This window comes from Homo sapiens, chromosome 4, assembly GCF_000001405.40.
Source record: "Homo sapiens chromosome 4, GRCh38.p14 Primary Assembly".
Classification (NCBI taxonomy): Eukaryota; Metazoa; Chordata; class Mammalia; order Primates; family Hominidae; genus Homo; species Homo sapiens.
Genome location: NC_000004.12, coordinates 42,134,254 through 42,153,524, shown reverse-complemented (window position 1 = coordinate 42,153,524; position 19,271 = coordinate 42,134,254). Strand labels below are relative to the sequence as shown.

General features: G+C 43.6%; 1 protein-coding gene across 3 annotated transcripts in view, besides 5 other annotated features; it reads left to right on the top strand.

Annotated features, from left to right (window-relative positions):
• Positions 1 to 869: 869 nt before the first annotated feature.
• BEND4 (BEN domain containing 4) overlaps positions 870 to 19,271 on the top strand; it is a 41,803-nt gene continuing 23,401 nt past the window's right edge. For 2 of the 3 annotated variants that reach the window (NM_001159547.2, NM_207406.4), the window contains exons 1-3: positions 870 to 993; positions 1,149 to 1,868; positions 9,531 to 10,097. In NM_001159547.2, coding sequence (NP_001153019.1) covers positions 1,382 to 1,868; positions 9,531 to 10,097 — 1,054 coding nt within the window. In that variant the 5' untranslated portion in view covers positions 870 to 993; positions 1,149 to 1,381. Of the gene's footprint in view, positions 994 to 1,134; positions 1,869 to 9,530; positions 10,098 to 19,271 lie in introns of those variants that run through there. The other variant, XM_017008185.2, reaches the window with a different exon arrangement.
• Positions 1,178 to 1,497: a silencer, noted in NCBI's record as "silent region_15391". NCBI's record gives its function as "represses an Ori minimal core promoter by ATAC-STARR-seq in GM12878 lymphoblastoid cells {active_cell/tissue: GM12878}" and the evidence as "EXISTENCE:reporter gene assay evidence [ECO:0000049][PMID:35858748]".
• Positions 1,553 to 2,396: an enhancer, noted in NCBI's record as "H3K4me1 hESC enhancer chr4:42153146-42153989 (GRCh37/hg19 assembly coordinates)". NCBI's record gives its function as "activates a minimal SCP1, AML or CMV promoter by ChIP-STARR-seq in primed H9 embryonic stem cells {active_cell/tissue: H9 hESC(primed)}" and the evidence as "EXISTENCE:reporter gene assay evidence [ECO:0000049][PMID:30033119]".
• Positions 1,698 to 1,787: a silencer, noted in NCBI's record as "silent region_15390". NCBI's record gives its function as "represses an Ori minimal core promoter by ATAC-STARR-seq in GM12878 lymphoblastoid cells {active_cell/tissue: GM12878}" and the evidence as "EXISTENCE:reporter gene assay evidence [ECO:0000049][PMID:35858748]".
• Positions 4,478 to 5,451: an enhancer, noted in NCBI's record as "VISTA enhancer hs847". NCBI's record gives its function as "enhancer in: forebrain[7/8]" and the evidence as "EXISTENCE:transgenic organism evidence [ECO:0001131][PMID:17130149]".
• Positions 16,681 to 17,216: an enhancer, noted in NCBI's record as "OCT4-NANOG hESC enhancer chr4:42138326-42138861 (GRCh37/hg19 assembly coordinates)". NCBI's record gives its function as "activates a minimal SCP1, AML or CMV promoter by ChIP-STARR-seq in naive H9 embryonic stem cells {active_cell/tissue: H9 hESC(naive)}" and the evidence as "EXISTENCE:reporter gene assay evidence [ECO:0000049][PMID:30033119]".

Genomic DNA, 19,271 nt, shown 5'->3' with positions numbered 1-19,271 from the left:
CCAGAACTCTGACCTGGAGAACGAAAAAGGAAGGCTGAAAAGCAAACCTGGGGCAGGGTATGCTGGTTGGCCTAGAAGAGGGGTGATTTGGGATAGGGAGCAATGGACCCTCTGCCCCAAAAAGTGGCTGGGAGAGACCAGGACATCTGCATCCCATGGAGGATCTTCCTCCCAACGACTGAGATCTCTCATTCAAACGGCTACTGAAATTGGGCACCCTCCAGACCCTCGCCGGATGGCGCCAGTTGCAGTGAGTAAAACAATGCAAGGAGTGAGTTCTCGTGTTTCCCTGGGCTTGCAAGTACATATACATATATTAAAAATGACACTGTTGAAAGTAATCATCACCTCAAAGGGAGGTATCAGGACATTTCCCCACTCAATTGCACAGAGGCTACTGGCTATGGGAAGTGAGGAGTTGACTTCAAATAACCTGGATGCGTCAGTGCAACACAGCCGCACACTCCCGAGTGTCTGACTTTGGGCAATTCCCTTCAACCTCTCAGAGCCTCGGTTTTCTCATCTTTATAATGGGGGGGAAATCATGGTGTCATGCACGTTCTCGGGGCCCCTACGGGAAACAAATGAAAACGTGAAAAAGTTCTACGCCTTGCGAGCTTTTATGTTCCGCATGAGCTCAGAGGCCGCGATGCTCGGGGAAAGCAGGACCCCAAAGCCCCGTAAACACCGCGCGACCACCCGGGCCAAGATCTTCAAGAGGTTCTTTTCAGAAGGATCGGAGAGCAATTCCCGATTGGTAGAAGAACTTGCTGTAATACACACGTACTCTGACGACCCCGCCCCAACGACTAGCCCCTCCTCTGTGCAACCCCGAGAGTTTGGGGTCATGCAGGGGGCGCCACGAGCTCGTTTCGGAAGCCGGACCCCGCCCGCAGCCGCAGAAGCCTCGAGTCCACATCTGGGTCTCTAAAGTCTCGCCGTAGCCAGATCCCGGATCCCCACCTTCTTCACCAGTTCCCGGGCGTCCTCCAGGTCCTCGCTTTCCCCCTTCCCCCGCTCCCCGTCGGAGGCGCGGAGCCGCCAGGCAGACCCCGCGGGCGGCTGCGGCGCCAGGCCCCGCCCCGCCCCCATTATCATTAGCAGATATTACCCTAAACACTTGCTCTTTACCTCCTTTCTCCCTCCAGGCATTGGCGAGGCAGCCTGTCAATCAGGAGCTCGGGCGGCAGCCCCCCGCGCGGGGGCTCGGCGATGCCAGCCTCAGCGACAGGCGGCGGCGGCGGCGGCCACGGCACAGACACACACCCTCCCACACGCGCGCACCAGGGCAGACCCGGCGGGCAGGCGGCGGAGGCACCCTCGGAGCCCGGCGCCCGGCGGGGAGGGGACGTGCTCCGAGGGACCGGCCCCGAGGCGCCGGATGGAGGAAGAGATGCAGCCGGCAGAGGAGGGGCCCAGCGTCCCCAAAATCTACAAGCAGCGCAGCCCCTACAGCGTCCTCAAGACGTTCCCCAGCAAGAGACCGGCGCTGGCCAAGCGCTACGAGCGACCCACCCTGGTGGAGCTGCCGCACGTGCGGGCGCCCCCGCCGCCCCCGCCGCCCTTCGCGCCGCACGCCGCCGTCTCCATCAGCAGCAGCGAGCCGCCGCCGCAGCAGTTCCAGGCGCAGAGCTCCTACCCCCCCGGGCCCGGCCGGGCCGCCGCCGCCGCTTCGTCGTCGTCGCCGTCCTGCACGCCCGCCACATCCCAGGGCCACTTGAGGACTCCGGCGCAGCCGCCGCCCGCGTCCCCCGCCGCCTCCTCGTCGTCTTCGTTCGCCGCTGTCGTCAGGTATGGCCCAGGCGCGGCGGCGGCCGCCGGCACCGGCGGCACGGGTAGCGACAGCGCCAGCCTGGAGCTCAGCGCAGGTACCAACTCTCCGCACAACTTTCCTTCCCGCCACGGCCGGGGGCAGCGGGAGGGGACCCAGGAAGGAGAAGCGGGGGGCCGCCGACACTTACCCGTGCTGGGCCGTGTCGGGATGTCGGGGCGCACCTGGGGCCTCCCCGCGCACCCGGAAACTTCGAGAGGATTCTCCAGCGCCGCCGCGCCTGGGCTTCCGACGGCGCGCGCCTAACAGGTGGCTCCGCGGCTTGGATCCCGCGCCGGGAAGCACGGCTGTGGCAGTCGGCGACCAGGATCGCTCGGGCGTGGTCCGGAGTGGGGCCAGACGCCCCCCCGGGGGATAGCGGCGGCCGCTCGGGAAGAAGCTGGAGCTTCTCGGGCCGCCCCGCTGGGACGCCCTCGTACTACTTCACTTTTTCCGTCTGCTTTTTCCCTTTCTCCTTCTTCCTCCATTTGTTTCTTCTTCTCTCCACTTCTCCTTTGCCTTCTAGTGCTTTCTTCGCCACCTCTTTGATGCACTCTCACGCTGTCGCAGTCCATGCTGGCTGGCTCTCAGTTCCGTTTTTCCTTCTGTCTTTTTTTGTGCGCCTGTGTTTCTCGGGGGCGCTCTGTCTCGCTCTGTCCCTTTTCCTTCCCACCCCTTGGTTGTGAGACTCGGGGCTCCTCCGCGTCCGCCACGCCGTGGATTTCGGGCGCGGGGAACCATCCCGCCCCTCCTTCCTGCCCCGGGAGTCGCAGGCACTCTGCTCCCACCGCCCACGTCGTCGTCCCCGCCATCCCCTCGTCCCCGTCCGTGGCACGCTGCCGCGCCGCGGGGTCCTGCCCCTCCCGAGCATCTCGGCCCGAGCCTTACAGAAACGCCTCGTGGGAGGCACCCACTCTGGGGTCCGCGACTCCTCTCCTTTATCTCGAGTCTGCGGGCGCTGCCCGGCAAAGCAGCCCACTGCCTGCCTGCAGGGAGCGAGATGGGCTGGTTGCGAGGCCACAGCCTGAGGCCTGCGCCCAAGGGACCTCTCCACCAGCTCCCAGTGGGTGCAGCCACGTTTATCCACTCATTAGAACTAAAAGTTCCTGCCAAGGCCTTTTATGGCACTTTGAAGCCCCCCAAATCCTGCATGTCAGTGAATCTTGAGACTTATTTTTTTCTCCTGTGGAAAATAGAAGTGTTGTGTCTAAATGAGTTATAGATGCCTCCAGTAATAATTCTGTTGTTTGTCAATATTTTGACACATGAAGGATTGGTTTTGGAAAAGAAAACCTAATTACAGGTTATAGTGAAGACTTGATCTGTTGCATCTCTCACTGATTTGAAGATGTTTGATTGCTTTCAGTGGGGTTCTTAGGTGGACTTCCTTATTGTTTGTGGGGTATGTTTTTTTTCAGTTGCTCTTGCCCCAATATTCCATTGTGTTTTTATATTCTTTGTTAGGCAGTTGGCTCACTTGATTTTCCTCCTTACTTTTTTTCTTTTTCCCCCCTTCTTAAGGAGGTTCATTTTCTTTCTTTCTGGCTTGAGATCTTATTTTCTCCTAAACTACTTCTTGTTCAGGCATGTGTTTATTTCTAGGCTCAGCTTTATCATCCTGTATTTTTATGTTCTTTGCCAGCAATTTGGGTCCTTTTCCCATTTTCTGTGTTTTGCTTTTACTCTTTTGCGTAGCCTCAGTTCCATCATTTTCATTGACGTTTTCCCCTCTATCTGCCCAGGTCAGTCTTTGATCTCCTCTTGCTTCTCCTTCCAGCCTTTGTTGATTGTCTTTCCATATTTTACTTCCTGTTATACACTGTAAATTTACCCCCTTCTCATTTCCATTTTCATCCATAGTTTTAGCCGGCTATATATTTCCTGTATTGCTTCTTTTTTTCTGCACCAGTCACTTGCTGTTCTTTCCTTGGTTACTTCTACCCTGGCAGTTTCCTTGCTGTCCTTCCTTCATGTGGGTTTTTTTTTTCCTTCCTTTTCTCACCTTGTTCTAAATGTTCTTTTTCAGTGTTCCTTCTGATGTCCTGTTTAGTTTATTTTGTCTCTGTTCCCAGATGGAAATTATAACATCACTAAATCTAAAGGAGTGAAGAGGGGCTTTTTTGATGCCCTTCGAATTTCTCCATATTTCCTTTTATTCTCACGGTTGCTTTTGTTGTTTTTAAGGAGGTCATAGAGAGGGGTAAGCTTGATAGCACCAAGGGCTGGATCCCTCGTGCTTGTTGGAAAGATGGGAATTGGATGGTAGGCTTCTTCCATACAGTGAGGGAAATAGTCTGGGGGGAAGAAAGCCATAGAACTAGACATCATGAATTGTGGTCATAATATTAATCACTGATGGACAAAGCCATCTCTTAACAGGCACAGTGATGTGAGTGGCCATCAGAGAACAGCCACCTGAAGAGCTGATTGGTTCTCTGAGAAACTAGTCGTTCCACTTTGAACCAATAAGCATGTGTGCACAGACCCGTGGCCATTTAAGCATACTGGGTGGGGTGGGGGGGGTGGGAGCGGCGCTTTGCCTGTTGCACCCTCGCAGAAGTGTAATTGCTGTGTTTCAGGCTACCTAGTAAACTGAAAATAGTCAAAACATTCATGTTACGAAATGAGTCAAGGACAGAAGAAGAGACGTAACTGAGTGTCCAGAGTAAATGGAGTGAAAAGATGAAAGGGTTGAAGTGAATCTTATTTGCCATTAAGGGCTATAACTAAGAAGAGAAATATGTGATTAAAAATAGATTTTTTCAACATTTTTATAAAATCTCATGAAGAGTATAATTTTCCTTAAAAGGGGTAATACACCATGGTTTTAAAAGCATATTTTTCCTCTGTGGGAGGCTTAGAGTTAAAACCCACGTAGATCTTGATATGCAGCCTAAATTTGGCATTAGGAAATGGGAAATTGCATCTTTAAGCAGAGTACAATCAAAAATGAATTATAATAAATCCTATATAATTGCATAGGTCATTCTCTTTAATGAGATTTTATTAACCTGACTGTCAAGCTTTTGAGTCAGGCAGATATTTTATCTTCTTCAACTGATAAAAGTGTCAGCTATAAACCACCATATAAATATTCATAAATCTACACATCTGTGGCAGCCTATCAGCATCATTCTTTTGGACATTAAAAGCATTCTAATTACTTTCTGTCTAGCAGAGCTGAAATGCTGCCTGTTATAGTATGTGCTTGGCAGGCATGATTGCTTTTGTTTGCCATCACAAATAGCAGCATCCTATTTTATATACCGATGGTCCAGAAAATATTCAGGGATTGACTGAGCAGGATGAATATTAGGAAGCACCATCTGGTTTTGATAGCACCGAGTATATTAACTCATCTGTTAATTTTTGACACATCATTGATTTATTTATTTAGAAAAATTCCATCCTGTTTTGCTGTGTTGATGTTTGCCATTATGAAAAAAATTGGATGGCATTTTTTAAAAAAGACATAGTTCATTGATTTAAGACAAGGGTGGTGCTTCCAAAGATGCTTTGATTTTCTAACTTCTATTTTCTATGCCATGAAGCCCTCTTTTAAAAATAAGTTAAATTAATGTTTTAAGGAAATCATCTATTTTGAACTAGTTAGAAATCGTTGGGTAGATATAACATATGAATACATGATAGTAGGTCACTAAAAAAAATTTCTGCTTCTGCATTTTTAATATTAATATATTTCACCCTTCGCTGGGCTAAAATCAAAAGGTTACCACTAATCTTGACTACTGTGATCTCCTTCATAGAAGCAGAATTCTCTTGGGGATCTGCTGTGATGGGCAAATTCCATTCAAGGCTTTACTTACAAAGAGGGGCGGTAAAGTAGGGAGACTATTTGATTGCCTACTTCCCATCCCTCTTCTTATTCACTTATCAGATATAGGATGGATTAAACCTCTTAAATTCAGACGAATTTCCCAAAATGAATTTTTTAATTAAAAAAATAATCATGGGTTCAGATTTTGGAATCGGACAAGGCACAATTTGCAGCATAATATTATCTCCCAGTAGGCTGCACAATAAAGCAAAATAAATTAGAGAGAAGTGGGCATTTTAGAGGGCTTTGTGATTGTGATTTATTAACATTTTATGGTGTTTAATTTTAGGGAAGTTAGGGATAAAGTAGCCCTTCTGTAAACTGTTGATTTTCTCTTTCCCTGCCATCACTTGAGTGGAGCATTCTATGACTTAACAAAAAAAAAAAAAAAAAAAGTTAAAAAAATCATAATACGTGTTCACAGTTTGCTGAGTTAAGAATCATAGATCAGTAGCCATTCAATTGTGTTTGTATGAAAACAGAACTTCATTTCTTAGTGATAATGGGCATCACACAGTACTTGGATTTATAATTATATTCTGTCTAGAAGGCTAAAACTATTGCTGCATGCAATGTGTATTAAGTGGAAAGATTTGCTGTTTTCCACCGAATGTAATGGTAATATTTTTCATCACAATCTTCCATGTATCAATGTTAAAATAATATTCAAATAATTCAAGGTAATGAAAAGAGAAAAAATTCTACTCTAAGGGTGACAATAGCCATTTTTGTACATATCATTTCTGAAAGCAAATTCAGAATGAAGCATTTAAAAAACTGCAGGCAAGAACTACTTTATGATTGTAACTATTCTCTCATATTCTGAGTGCACTTTAATAGATTATCTTCATAATGTAGTATATTACATAATGATTTTTTCTCAGCATGTTACAAGTTTATCCTTCAGTTAAGAAAACAAATCACGCTTGTCCCTAAGTCAGATTTTTTTCCCTTAAAATCTATACTCTAATGTGATTTATCAATGTGATTAAAACTACTGAGTGTGTTGTAGGACACTGAACAAATACATTCAAGCAGTTCTTACTAGCCAGTTCTGTTTTAGACTTTCATATTTTGTCCCTTTCATCAAGGTTATGTTAAAGGTGTATAGGGGAAATCAATTGGGACTATGCTGATTAAAATGCAAACAGTAAATACAACTTCAGGTCTAGAATGGGATTATAGGATTAAAATGAATGAAAACTGCTGTTGTGCTAGAATTGAAAATTCCCAATCAATATCATCCTTTGATTTTACTAATAAAAGAACAGAAACCAGGAAGTAAAAAAATGAGTGTAGCATCTTAAACCTCTTACTTGTATAGTTCAGCTGTTGGCTTTCTTATTATTTGGTTTTGGCCATTGTAAATAAATGGCACCCAAATATTTTTGTGAGACTCCGGATAAGAGTACAAATAGTGCCTCACAGAGCATATATCAGATAATTACAAAGTATAAATCAAGCTAACAAATTGTTTAACAAAATATGTTCTGTCCACCTACCTTGGCAAATACACCTTCACAGTAACCAGGTTTGGAATTTACAACCAACCCATGTCTTTCTCTCTCCACTCCTAGCTTTATCTTCCACTAGGAGGGACCTCACATACACATATGTGGAGGTCCCAGTCCACACTTCCAGGATCTGACACCATGGTCTCTGTCTTTGGATTGATGGCTCAGAGAAGATGGCAGCATAGATCTTTAAAGCAGTTTGAGTGGGGAATTCTTGGATCTTGGGGTACTTGGCCATGTGGACAGGATTGGCTGGAGAAGGAGGGTCAGGTGGCGGTCCTGCTGCCAAGGTCTGAGGGTAATACTGCTCCTAAGAGTAAGAAAGTACTATTCTAAGAAGAAAATAGTCCTGTGGACTCTCAACCAGCCTAGGGTGGACTTGCTACCCCTACCTCAGTCAAGTAAATCTGAAAATGCTATAAACTAAGATGCTCTTATGTATGTACAGGAGTACCTGCTGTGTGTTCAGTAACTATTTCTCAAGGTGTTGTGCTGGCCTCTGACACTCCAGTGCAGTTTATGATCCTCTACTGAGTAGAAGAGATCTGGCCTCTGTTCTGACTTGCAGTTTTTCAGCGGGATTCAGGATTTGGGAGATGTAAGGCATGCTTCCTATGTGCCAAACACTGTGCTATATGGGCTTTACATATATATTCTTTTTTTTTTTTTTTTTGAGATGGAGTCTTCACTGTCGCCAGGTTGGAGTGCAGCGGCACCATCTTGGCTCACTGCAACCTCTGTCTTCTGGGTTCAAGCGATTCTCCTGCCTCAGCCCCCCGAGTAGCTGGGACTACAGGTGCGCGCCACCATGTCCAGCTAATTTTTGTATTTGTAGTAGAGACGGGGTTTCACCGTGTTGGCCAGGATGGTCTCGATCTCCCACCTCGTGATCTGCCCACCTTGGCCTCCCAAAGTGCTGAGATTACAGGTGTGAGCCACTGCACCCAGCTGTTTTACATGTATATTCTTATTAAAAAGTTGGAAAAGAGCACTTGGACCCCTCTCCTCTGACTATCTTAGTTATTTCATGAAAGGATAATAAGAAAAAAGAACACAGTGGAACGTTGAGCACTGCATGGAGTTCTCCTGTAGTGTGGTTTCCTTGGTCTTACATCCTGGGTGTGTTCTAGGGGATTTCTTATTGAAGCTGTTCTAGCTTATTTTTCCCATAGCAGCCCTTGAACATCTCACCATTTTTTATTCTGAAAGTTTTCTTTCCTCCAGAAAAAAATGCAGCTAGTCAACATTTTCAGAGAGAGCTAGTGCTAGTTGCATTTTTATCTTAAACAATAGTTATAGGCATCTACAATCTAGAATATTTTGTTTATTGCCATTATTCTGGGAAAGGGGAGAGGAAATAAGAGACATCCTCATGCTTCTGTGTCAGCTCTGAAAAGTGCCCCTCTCTGTATTTATAATAGCCCATTCTAGGTGGCAATCAGGAAAGAAGCGAATCTACCCTGTGACATTTATATTTGGGGTAAATTTTCAAGACCCTTCGATATCATTAAATTACATTTTCTTTTTACAGTGGGTTGATTGCTTTTGTTTGCTTTTTGCTTTCAATGGTTGACAATATGCTTTAGAATTCATGTACATGGGCTAACAGGCACCCATGCCTCGTGCCATTTTAGGATATTTGGCAATCTACTGGAAGAGGTTCTAAGAAGTGATACTACTGATTTTCAAATGATACACGTCAGCCTAAACATTGGCCTTGACAAGAAGTCCAAGTTAGCAAATAAATGAAAAGAAGGAATAGTGAACACTGATGTTAGAAGACACATACAGTTTTGTGCTCATCCTGTGCCCATAGGCCTACTCTTTGTTTTACCTTAAATTTCTAGTGAGCTCTTCAAAAAGACTTATCTTTCTTCCCCAGTTTGCATCTGGGAGCTATGTACTCTCTGCAGGGATTGTATCAGCTGATTAATAGCAAGGGCATGAGGGCACTCCAGAAATAGAAGTAATGATTGCTTTAAGCCCTCCTATCAATGAGGAATTGAGTCTGCAGTGGCTGGCTCGATTCCTTAGAGTAAGGATATTAATGAAACCAAAGGTGTGAGTTCAGACCTGTGCAGCCAGTTAATGCCACAGAGAGGGAAATCTCTATATGGTGCCCAAAGTCACAGTCCAGCCGTTTCCTAGAGCAAGAGACTGCGTGTGACTCAGCAAGCATCCCGCAGTCGCAGAACAACAGGAAGCTATGCGTTCTATTCACAGTGGATTTATTGTGTCATCTTGGTTTATGACAGACAGTAGAAATACATATTTTTAACATGTTTGAATGTTAAGCTGAAAATTGAGGACTTTATTTATCTTTTGCCGTTGGCTGTTGGTCACTGATGTGTCCTTTCATTTGTTTCAGAGAGTCGAATGATCTTGGATGCCTTTGCCCAGCAGTGCAGTCGAGTTCTTAGCCTCTTAAATTGTGGAGGAAAACTCCTGGACTCCAACCATTCTCAGTCCATGATTTCTTGCGTAAAGCAGGAAGGCTCAAGTTACAACGAAAGACAGGAGCACTGTCACATTGGGAAAGGGGTCCACAGTCAGACCTCAGACAATGTAGACATAGAGATGCAGTATATGCAAAGGAAACAACAAACTTCTGCCTTTTTGAGGGTTTTCACTGACTCTCTACAAAATTACCTGCTCTCGGGAAGCTTTCCAACTCCAAACCCCTCGTCAGCCAGTGAATATGGCCATCTGGCCGACGTGGATCCTCTGTCAACCTCTCCTGTGCATACATTAGGTGGCTGGACTTCCCCAGCAACGTCCGAATCCCATGGCCACCCATCTTCATCTACACTGCCAGAAGAGGAGGAGGAGGAGGACGAGGAAGGCTATTGTCCTCGATGCCAAGAGCTGGAGCAGGAGGTTATTTCACTGCAACAAGAAAATGAAGAGCTCAGAAGGAAATTAGAGAGCATCCCAGGTATCCTGCCATATTCCTTGCAAGACAACTGCAACCCTTCTTTCTTTCACTTGTCTCATCTGTCTGTGTATTTCTGTACTCATGTATGTGTATGTGTATATGTATGTGTGGGCTTTTTTTGTTTTTTGGCCAGTGATGTAGAAAAGTTGGAAAAAACAGACATGCTCAAGAGCTTCTCAGCCCGTCCAGTGCCAAACAGAAATTTTAGGAGGAGCCACTAGCCTGTTTACTTCCAGCCACCGTGTTCTTGTGTATAGGCCTGAACACCATAGTCCTATTAAAAGGTGTGTCTGTCAATATAAAAATAATTTCTTGATGTGCTGCTTTGACATTGAAATAGGTCAAGTGCTATAAGCCTGTTTTCTTAAAAGGTGGTCCTCTTCCTTTAAAATGGGTTTTGAATTTTTAAAAACTTTGATCCTATGCATTTTATTAGTCAATGATAGAAATTAAAGTGAAATACTTTGAGAGGCAGGACTCAAGTAGTACTGAACAAATGAAATGGTCTCTTCTATTTCATTAATTTTCCCTGCCTTTCCTTTGAAGTTTCAACAAGCATAACGTCTTTAGCATATACACTGTCCTAATAGGTCAAAGATAGACCAGTAATTAAGCCGGCCCCAAACCGTTTCTTGGCCCTGACTAAACATGAGGCATTTCCTGCCTGTTAGAGACACTAGATTTTCAGAGTAGTAAAATCATCTTTCTGGCAAGACATTCTCTGGGTTGAAAAGTCTTTTTTTTTTTTTTAAACTGGTAAGGTACTGATTTTACTTTTTTTTTTTTTTTTTGAGACGGAGTCTCTCTCACTCTGTCACTGAGTCTGGAGTACAGTGGCACCGTGTGGGCTCACTGCAACCTCCGTCTCCTGGGTACAAGCAATTCTTGTGCCTCAGCCTCCCGAGTAGCTGGGATTACAGGCACCCACCACCACGCCTGGCAAGTTTATATATATATATATATTTTTTTTAGTAGAGATAGGGTTTCACCATGTTGGCCAGACTGGTCTCAAACTCCTGACCTCAGGTGATCCACCCATCTCGGCCTCCCAAAGTGCTGGGATTACAGGCATGAGCCACTGCGCCAGCCGTGATTTTACTTTTATCTTTGAATTCATTCCTGTACGTCTGTAGCTTACAGAAGACATTAAGATCATTAACAGGAACAATCTCTTCAAACCTTTTTAATTGCGTGGTCATTGCTAAAAAGTGTTTAAGCTTGAGGCCGGGCGCAGTGGCTCACGCCTGTAATCCCAGCACTTTGGGAGGCCGAGGGGGGGCGGATCACAAGGTCAGGTGATCGAGACCATCCTGGCTAACATGGTGAAACCCCGTCTCTACTAAAAAAATACACAAAAGTCGCCAGGCATGGTGGCAGGTGCCTGTAGTCCCAGCTACTCGGGAGGCTGAGGCAGGAGAATGACGTGAACCCAGGAGGCAGAGGTTCGGTGAGCTGAGATTATGCCTCTGCACTCCAGCCTGGGTGACAGAGGGAGACTGGGTCTCAAAAAAAAAAATGTTTAAGCTTGTGCCCACAAATATACACATTTATTGGCTAACTGCATACATGTACTACTATTCTAATATATTGGGGTTCAAAATAAATCATACATAAGAAATTTTAAAATTTTAATGCTGATACATATGCATAAATATAAGTTATATCCTTTTTTTTGTTTGTTTTAATTGAGACGGAGTCTTGCTCTGCTGCCCAGGCTGGTGTGCAGTGGTGCCGTCTTGGCTCACTGCAGCTTCTGCTGCCTGAGTTCAAGCGATTCTCCTGCCTCAGCCTCCTGAGTAGCTAGGAGTACAGGCATGCACCACCACGCCTGGCTAATTTTTTTTTTAATTGTATTTTTAGTAGAGACAGCGTTTCGCCACATTGGCCAGGCTGGTCTCGAACTCCTGACTTCAGGTGATCCGCCGGCCTTGGCCCCCCAAAGTGCTGGGACTACAGGCATTAGCCACAGCACCCGGCCAATATAAGCTATATTCTTTGCCTAGTACAGTATCTTTGTATCACTCAATTTGGCAGCTGATCTAGAAAGAAGGAAATGTTAAAGAAAGCTACCCACTTGTTTATTAGTAGACCAAGGAAACAAAAAGAAGGTTTATCATTTAAAATAATTCTCCAAATAGAGCTGAGGCTTGGTTCAGAACATTTTGGAATTAGATTAAGTGCAATTGTCCTGTGGAGGGGAGGAAGTAAGAGGTGCAGCAAATCCGTTTTCTCCTTTTACATTGGAGCCCTGGGGTTAGATGCAGACGAGTAGTGTTTTCCCACGCCAGGCAGGCACCGACTGCAAGACAGACACTGGGTAGAACCCAGAAGAATGTAATGGAACCAGATCATTCCTGGTTTCCCCAAGTCCGAGACATGGTTGCAGCTAGCACACTGTGGGATTTTACAAGTCTCACAGCTGTGTAACCAGTGCTTAGTTCACTGTGGGTTTATCTCATAGGGGTATTTCTGTTGTCACCCCCACTGCCCTCTTTAGCTGGGGCAGAAAATCGTGTCGTAGAGATCATCCAGCTACAGAGACTTTCATCAGCCACTCAGAACCATAACCAAAGGAGCCTTCCTAGCTTCTGAAGTGCTTAGTGGCACTCCTTGATCTCATCTTGGGAAAGAGTTTCAGAGTGCAAGGACAGGTGACACAAATGTCCCAAGTATTATTGTCTAATTCCTGATCCTAAATATTTGGCAAGCTGTATGTCCTTGATGTGCCCTAAGCAAACTTGGGGTTCAGTCCGCCTCTCACTTACCGAACCCATAGCAGGTCAGGTTCCTGTGGTAGGAGTTAACTCAGTGTTGGCTTGCCACTAATCATTGTCTTTTGTACTTCCCAGAAAGTTGGAGATGCTGCCATTTCTTGAGCCTTCTTGATGATCAAACATTGAATTGACACTGGTTGAAATTAGGCTAATCATCAGTCCTATTACTGTAAACATTCAACCCTGTTGACAATCCCGTCCCCGAACTTGAACCAGCAACCATTTCACATGGATAACCATGATTATGTTAAGAAATACATCCAACAATATGGATGAAAAGCCAGTTTATTAATTATGCATTGTAAAAATAGTATACAATGAAGAAAATATTAGCTTATTTGTGATTACTTATTACGTGTTCATGACCTAGGGACACCTTAATATTGGAAAACAGGTTAAAGTGTCACTTGGAGATGAAAACTTGATCAAAGGAAAATATTAGCTTATTTGTGATTACTTACCATGTGTTCATGACCTAGGGACACCTTAATATTGGAAAACAGGTTAAAGTGTCACTGGGAGATGAAAACTTGATCAAAGGGAGAAGTCACTGCCCTCTTGCCCTTACCTCTCAATGCCCATTTTTACCTAAACAATAAACTAGCCTGTGAGTGACACCCAAGAATCCACTTTTTACTTGATTAGCTGTGCATTTTGGGTGGAGGGGTATCTGTTATCATTTGAAGAAAAGTGCAGTACATGGTACACTGGTTTTGCATAGAATAAAAATGTTTTGTCATACTGTAACCCTCCTACATAATTTGGGATGGATTTTCCCTAAGCAGTGGTCTCAACAGGACCCCATCGTTCTAGAGGCTAGTACATTTCTGTGGAAGGACCTGGGGCTTTCTTCTAGTAGAATCTACCTGTGTTGTGGGAGTCACTTTTTTACAGCCAAGCAGGATGGATGAATACAAAGGAGAACGCAACGCTCAGCAGTTAGCACAGAAAATAAGGTTGAAAAGGAGATGGGTCAGCTACTGCAGGTCAGAGCCCAGGTAGCGTTCCTCGGTCATTTGTCTGCCTTTCCGGAGGAGTGCTGTTGAGGATTTTTTTTTTTTTCTGAAATAAAGCCTTTATACCTGGGAGCAGTTCTTGAAATGAGAGTTAAAAATAAACAAGCCTATCAGTCTACAAGAAAAAATGATTTCACTTGGGCACCTGTCAAGGAAAAAGGTGAAAGACCATACCAAAAAAAAAAAGAAGTTGTGGGCAGGCACTATTTCTGGCACTACTCTGAGAGGGGCAGTGTTACGGTATTATTTATAAAATATCCAACACAGTCTTTTGATGATCAGCTACATGCAAGGCAGGGGCTTCTGGAAAATTCTCTCTAACTTTTCAGAGTCAGTTGCAGGTGTAGGGAATTCAAATTTTATCCCAATGAAATAGCATTAGCACATTTTCTTTTGTATTAGATCACCACACTAGAAAATTAGAAAGTCTGTTTAGAAGTTAAATTTTTTGAAAAGAGTGAAATTTTATAAGCAAAAACCACAAAAGCAGAAGACTTTTGGATCAGGAATGTGAAGGGATGAGAGGTTTTTAAAAGAAGGAAAATAGTGCATAGAACTTCTCATTGGACAGAGTGTCAGCTTAGAGTAGTCACATTTACTTAGGAAGCTTAGTCAACACTAAGGAGAACTCATAAAAGAGGGCAAATATAAAATACCATATTTCATCTAATCTAAGACGCCAGTGGATGTAAGCTACACCAATCTTTATGTTCCACTAAGAAGAAATCATAATTGTACATAATAATTATCTTTGAACACAAAGTCCATAGATACTAAATGTGAAAAACTCTGGGTCTTAGAATCATAAAATATAGTAATTTTTGCTAAGAAAAGTCCAAAGTAAAATAATTATAACACATTAAAAATACCTTGAAATTTTCTAAGTGTCAAATATAGGGAGGATCTGTTTATTGTTGATATTTTAAATAAACTTTGTTTTGTAAAGTTTGAGTATACAAAATGAAGTTAGAGGATATATAGTTAAAAGGTTACTGTAGTGAAGCTGTATCTATCATCTCACATAGTTACACATTTTTCTGTTGTTGTTCTTGTAGCAAGAGCTGCTACAATCTGTTCGATAGCCTTAATCTCAAGTACGGTACAAATTTGTCACGTGTATTCCTCATGTTGTGTTGAATCTCTAGACCTATTCATCCTACATAGTGCTACTTCGTAACCTCTGAGCTATATCCCTCCGTTTCCACTCCCACTCCCCACCCCTTGTAGCTACTATTTTGTTCTCTAGCTCTGTATATTTGAATTTGAATTTATTTTAGGTTCCACATGTAGGTGAAATCTTACAATATTTTTCTTTCTGTGTCTGGCTTAACATAATGGCCTTCGGACTCACCCAAGTTGTGGCAGTGGCAAAATCTTGTTCTTTTTTAGGTCAGGATAATACTCTATCCAATAATATACCACAGTTTCTTTATCCACTTGTCTGTTGACAGACAAGGTTGTTTCCATGTCTTGGCTATTGGGAATAATGCTGCAATGAACGTGGGAGTGCAGACATCTTTACAAGATGTTGATTTCATTTCCTTTGGGTATATGTCCAGGAGAAGTTTTGCTGGGTCATATTTTTAATTTTCTAGGAAAATTCCAATACTGTTTTCCATAATGTCTGTACCATTCTACATTCCCACCAATGGTGTACAAGGGTTTCCTTTTTCCCATACACTCACCAACACTTGTTATCTTTTGATCTTTTGCCAACAGCCATCCTAACTGGTGTCAAGTGGTGTCTTATAGTGGTTTTGATTTGCATTTCCCTGATGATTAATGATGTTGAGTACATTTTTATATACGTGTTGGTATTCTTTGGAGAAGTATCTATTCAGGTCTTTTGTGCATTTTGTAATTGGGTTATTTGTTTTTCCACTGTGGAGGAGTATGAGTTCTTTAGATATTAACCCCATGGTTTGCAAAATTTTTTTTTCAGACCATAGATTGCTGTTTCATTTTGTTGATTGCTATGCAGAGACTTTTTAGTGTGATGCAGTTCCATGTTTAAAATTTTTGCTTTTGTGGCCTGAAAATTTTGTGGTTGTTCTTGTAGTACGAGCTGCTAAAATCGACTCAATATCCTTAATCTAAAGAACAGTACAAATTTGTTACATTGAGTTATTTGTTTTTGCTTTTGTGGTGTGAGCTTTTATGATACCTAAAAAATTATTTCCAAGGCCAGTGTCCAGGAGCATTCCCCTGTGTTCTTTGTCTTCCAGGACTTTTATAGTTTCTGGTCTTGTATTTGGGTCTTTTATCCATTTTGAGTTTATTTTTGTGTATGCTGTAAGGCAAGGGTCTAATTTCATTCTTTTGCATGTAGAAATCCAGTTTTCCCACACCCTTAGTTGAAGAGTATTGTTAATATTTTTGTAGGACCCTCTACTTTATAAAAAGTGCATTTTTTTATTATCTCATTTTATCCTCATAACTCCATGGGGCCACAGCAAATATTAATATCATTCCTATTTTATAGACAAGGAGGTTGAGACCTGGACAGTGAGGTCAGTTGGAAATTTAGGATTATAATCCAAGCCTCTGACTCCAGATCTAGTTTGTTACCCCTCGCCACCCTCAAAACAGCTGATTCTCATTATTCACCATCGTTATGTTCTATAAAGTCACTGTGAGTACCACATAGAGAATATTAAAGCATTCCTCCTAGGGGAAATACAGAGCTAGGTTCCTAAGAGCCTCTGCTCACAACAGTTTCATCAGCTGATCAATATATAACTTGTTTTATGTGCATGTTTATTTAAAGAGATCTTATTTAATAATTAACGCTGGTTGAGTAACAGCACTATAACTCATGCCCGAATGAGGCGTATCTAACATGCTTGTTTTCTCTGTAAGGCACATCACAGTCTTCTTGTACTTAGGAACAGTAGACAGCACTTCAGTGCTACAACTGGGGCCATTTGAAACAGTGAGATCACCAACAAAAGTCACAAAAATACAAAAACTGTAGCACTAAATAATAGACCATGGTGAGGACACTTGTTTACAGTTACGAGAGCTGAAACAAGAATGCAAAGCATCCCGTTGTTAAGCTTCAGCTGGGAATGTATGCATGTCAGGATTTCAGTGCTCTGCATATGTCTGTGAATGACTGCAAAAGCACCACAAGTTCTGATTTGGGGGTTACAAATACATTTTGGTAAGTAAAGCAAATTTGCAAATACCGAATCCATGAATGATGAGGACCCACTGTACCAACTCCAGAGGCTACAAACTAGAGAACTAACCTTGGATTCTGCAGTTCTGATCATGTTAGTCCACTGTTGACATTTTCTAATTAAGAAGGTTTTAAAATGATCAATCATGTCAGTTTTTGGATAACAGGAATTTTGCAAGAACAAAACGCCCTTAGAGTAGATGCAGTGTAGATGAGTGCTAGTATGCTCCAGTGCCCTCACCAACCTCCAAACTTGAAAATACCCACAAGGGCCTGTGGGAGGGAAAATGCTTAGGTCGGTTTCTGATCCTGAGAAGCTCACGGATCATATGTAAAGTGGGGGCTCTGAGGTGGATGAAAAGACCTTAATACATTCTGAGTATTACAGCGAATGATAGGGAAAGAGGAATAAAGAACTGAGTTCTTTCACTGAGAATTTGGTGAACATCATCATGGCTCTTGGTTACAACTATCAGTGACACTGAGGGAGACAGAGCAACAGAAGGTAAAGAGAATGGATTCGGAGTCAAAGCCGTGTTTGAATCTCTTCTCCTGCTACTTGGTATCTGTGATTGTTTTGCCAAATCGCTTTAATCATGCCAAATCTGTTTCCCTTTCTCTAAAGTGAGGTTAATAATACTCTAGGAATGTTTTTTTTGTATGTTTGTTTGGTTGGTTTTTTTAGACGGAGTCTTGCTCTGTCGCCCAGGCTGGAGTGCAGTGGCACAATCTCGGCTCACTGCAAGCTCTGCCTCCCGGGTTCATGCCATTCTCCTGCCTCAGCCTCCCAAGTAGCTGGGGGTACAGGCGCCCCTCACCACGCCTGGCTAATTTTTTGTATTTTTTTTAGTAGAGACGGGGTTTCACTGTGTTAGCCAGGATGGTCTCGATCTCCTGACCTCATGATCTGCCTGCCTCGGCCTCCCAAAGTCCTGGGATTACAGGTGTGAGCCACTGCGCCCAGCCATAATACTGTAGGAATGTTGAAAGTACCAAATACAATAAGGCATGGTTGGGATACCTACTGATCTTCCAGTAAGCACTCAATAAGTGGAAACTTTAAGAAAAAGAGGAAATTATTCTGTGCCTAGTGCTCCAGAAATCATAAGTTGTTTTCCTTATGATAAGTGGTATTCTTACCTTACAAAGGTGTCACCATTCAATTAGTTGGCCAGGTAGGGGACCTCAGATCCATCCAGAGCTCATCTCTCCTTCCGACTCCCAATCAGCCTCCGTTCTTCTGGGTGCTACCTCTTACACACCCATCAGTGGGACCTCTGCTTTCTCTCCACTGGTGTCAACCAGGCTCATCTCATAACTGGAGCTGTTGCAAGAGTCACTAAGCTTCCCTCCCAGACTCCAGTCCCTCCCATACCAGACTCTGGTCTCTCCCCCAAACAGCCCCAGGTCACCCACTGCCAAAGAGCCTCTAAGGGCTTCAAATAGTCTATGGAGTAAATTCTAGCATCCTCAGTGTGACACACAAGGTTCTTCAATTCCTGGATCTTTTCCTGTCTGTCTTTGGAGACTGAGCCCTCAGTGCCCACCAGACACCAAGTGTTCCAACCCCATTGGACAGTTTGTGAATCCCTGAACAGTCAAACACTTCCATACTTCTGGCCTTCCTTTACTCCAGCTATTCCTTTCAACCTAAGAACATACTCCTTTTCTCTCCACTTGAGAAACTCCTATTCATCCTTTAGTACCCAGCTCAGGTGACACTGTAACAAATGCTTCCCACAGTTCGCAAGCAAGCACTTTTCATAGCACGTCATGCAGATTCTGTTATCGTTACCGTGGGAAATTGTTACTCTATATGCGTCTGTGTCTCCTGATGTCCTGATATGAAGAGAGGCCATGGAGGTCTTTGAGGACAGAGACGCAAAGTCATCTTTGTGTCCCCTCTTTCCTAGCCCACTGTTAGGCATGTTGTAACATCTGCATGTCAATTGAATTGAATTAATGGAATGAGGATATTGACATGAACAAAAATATAACAATGCATCTGTAGGCTAATACTTAAAGCTCATTGTTTATTTCTAGATATTTACAATTCAGGAGCTTATACTTTACAGAGATGATGTGAATAGGGCACGTAAAGATGATTAAACACACACATGGCCATGGTTATCAGAGGACAGTAAATAATTCAGTTGCCCTATGAAAGTGTATGTGGAGTATTTTGAGATGTTTTAAGTCCTTG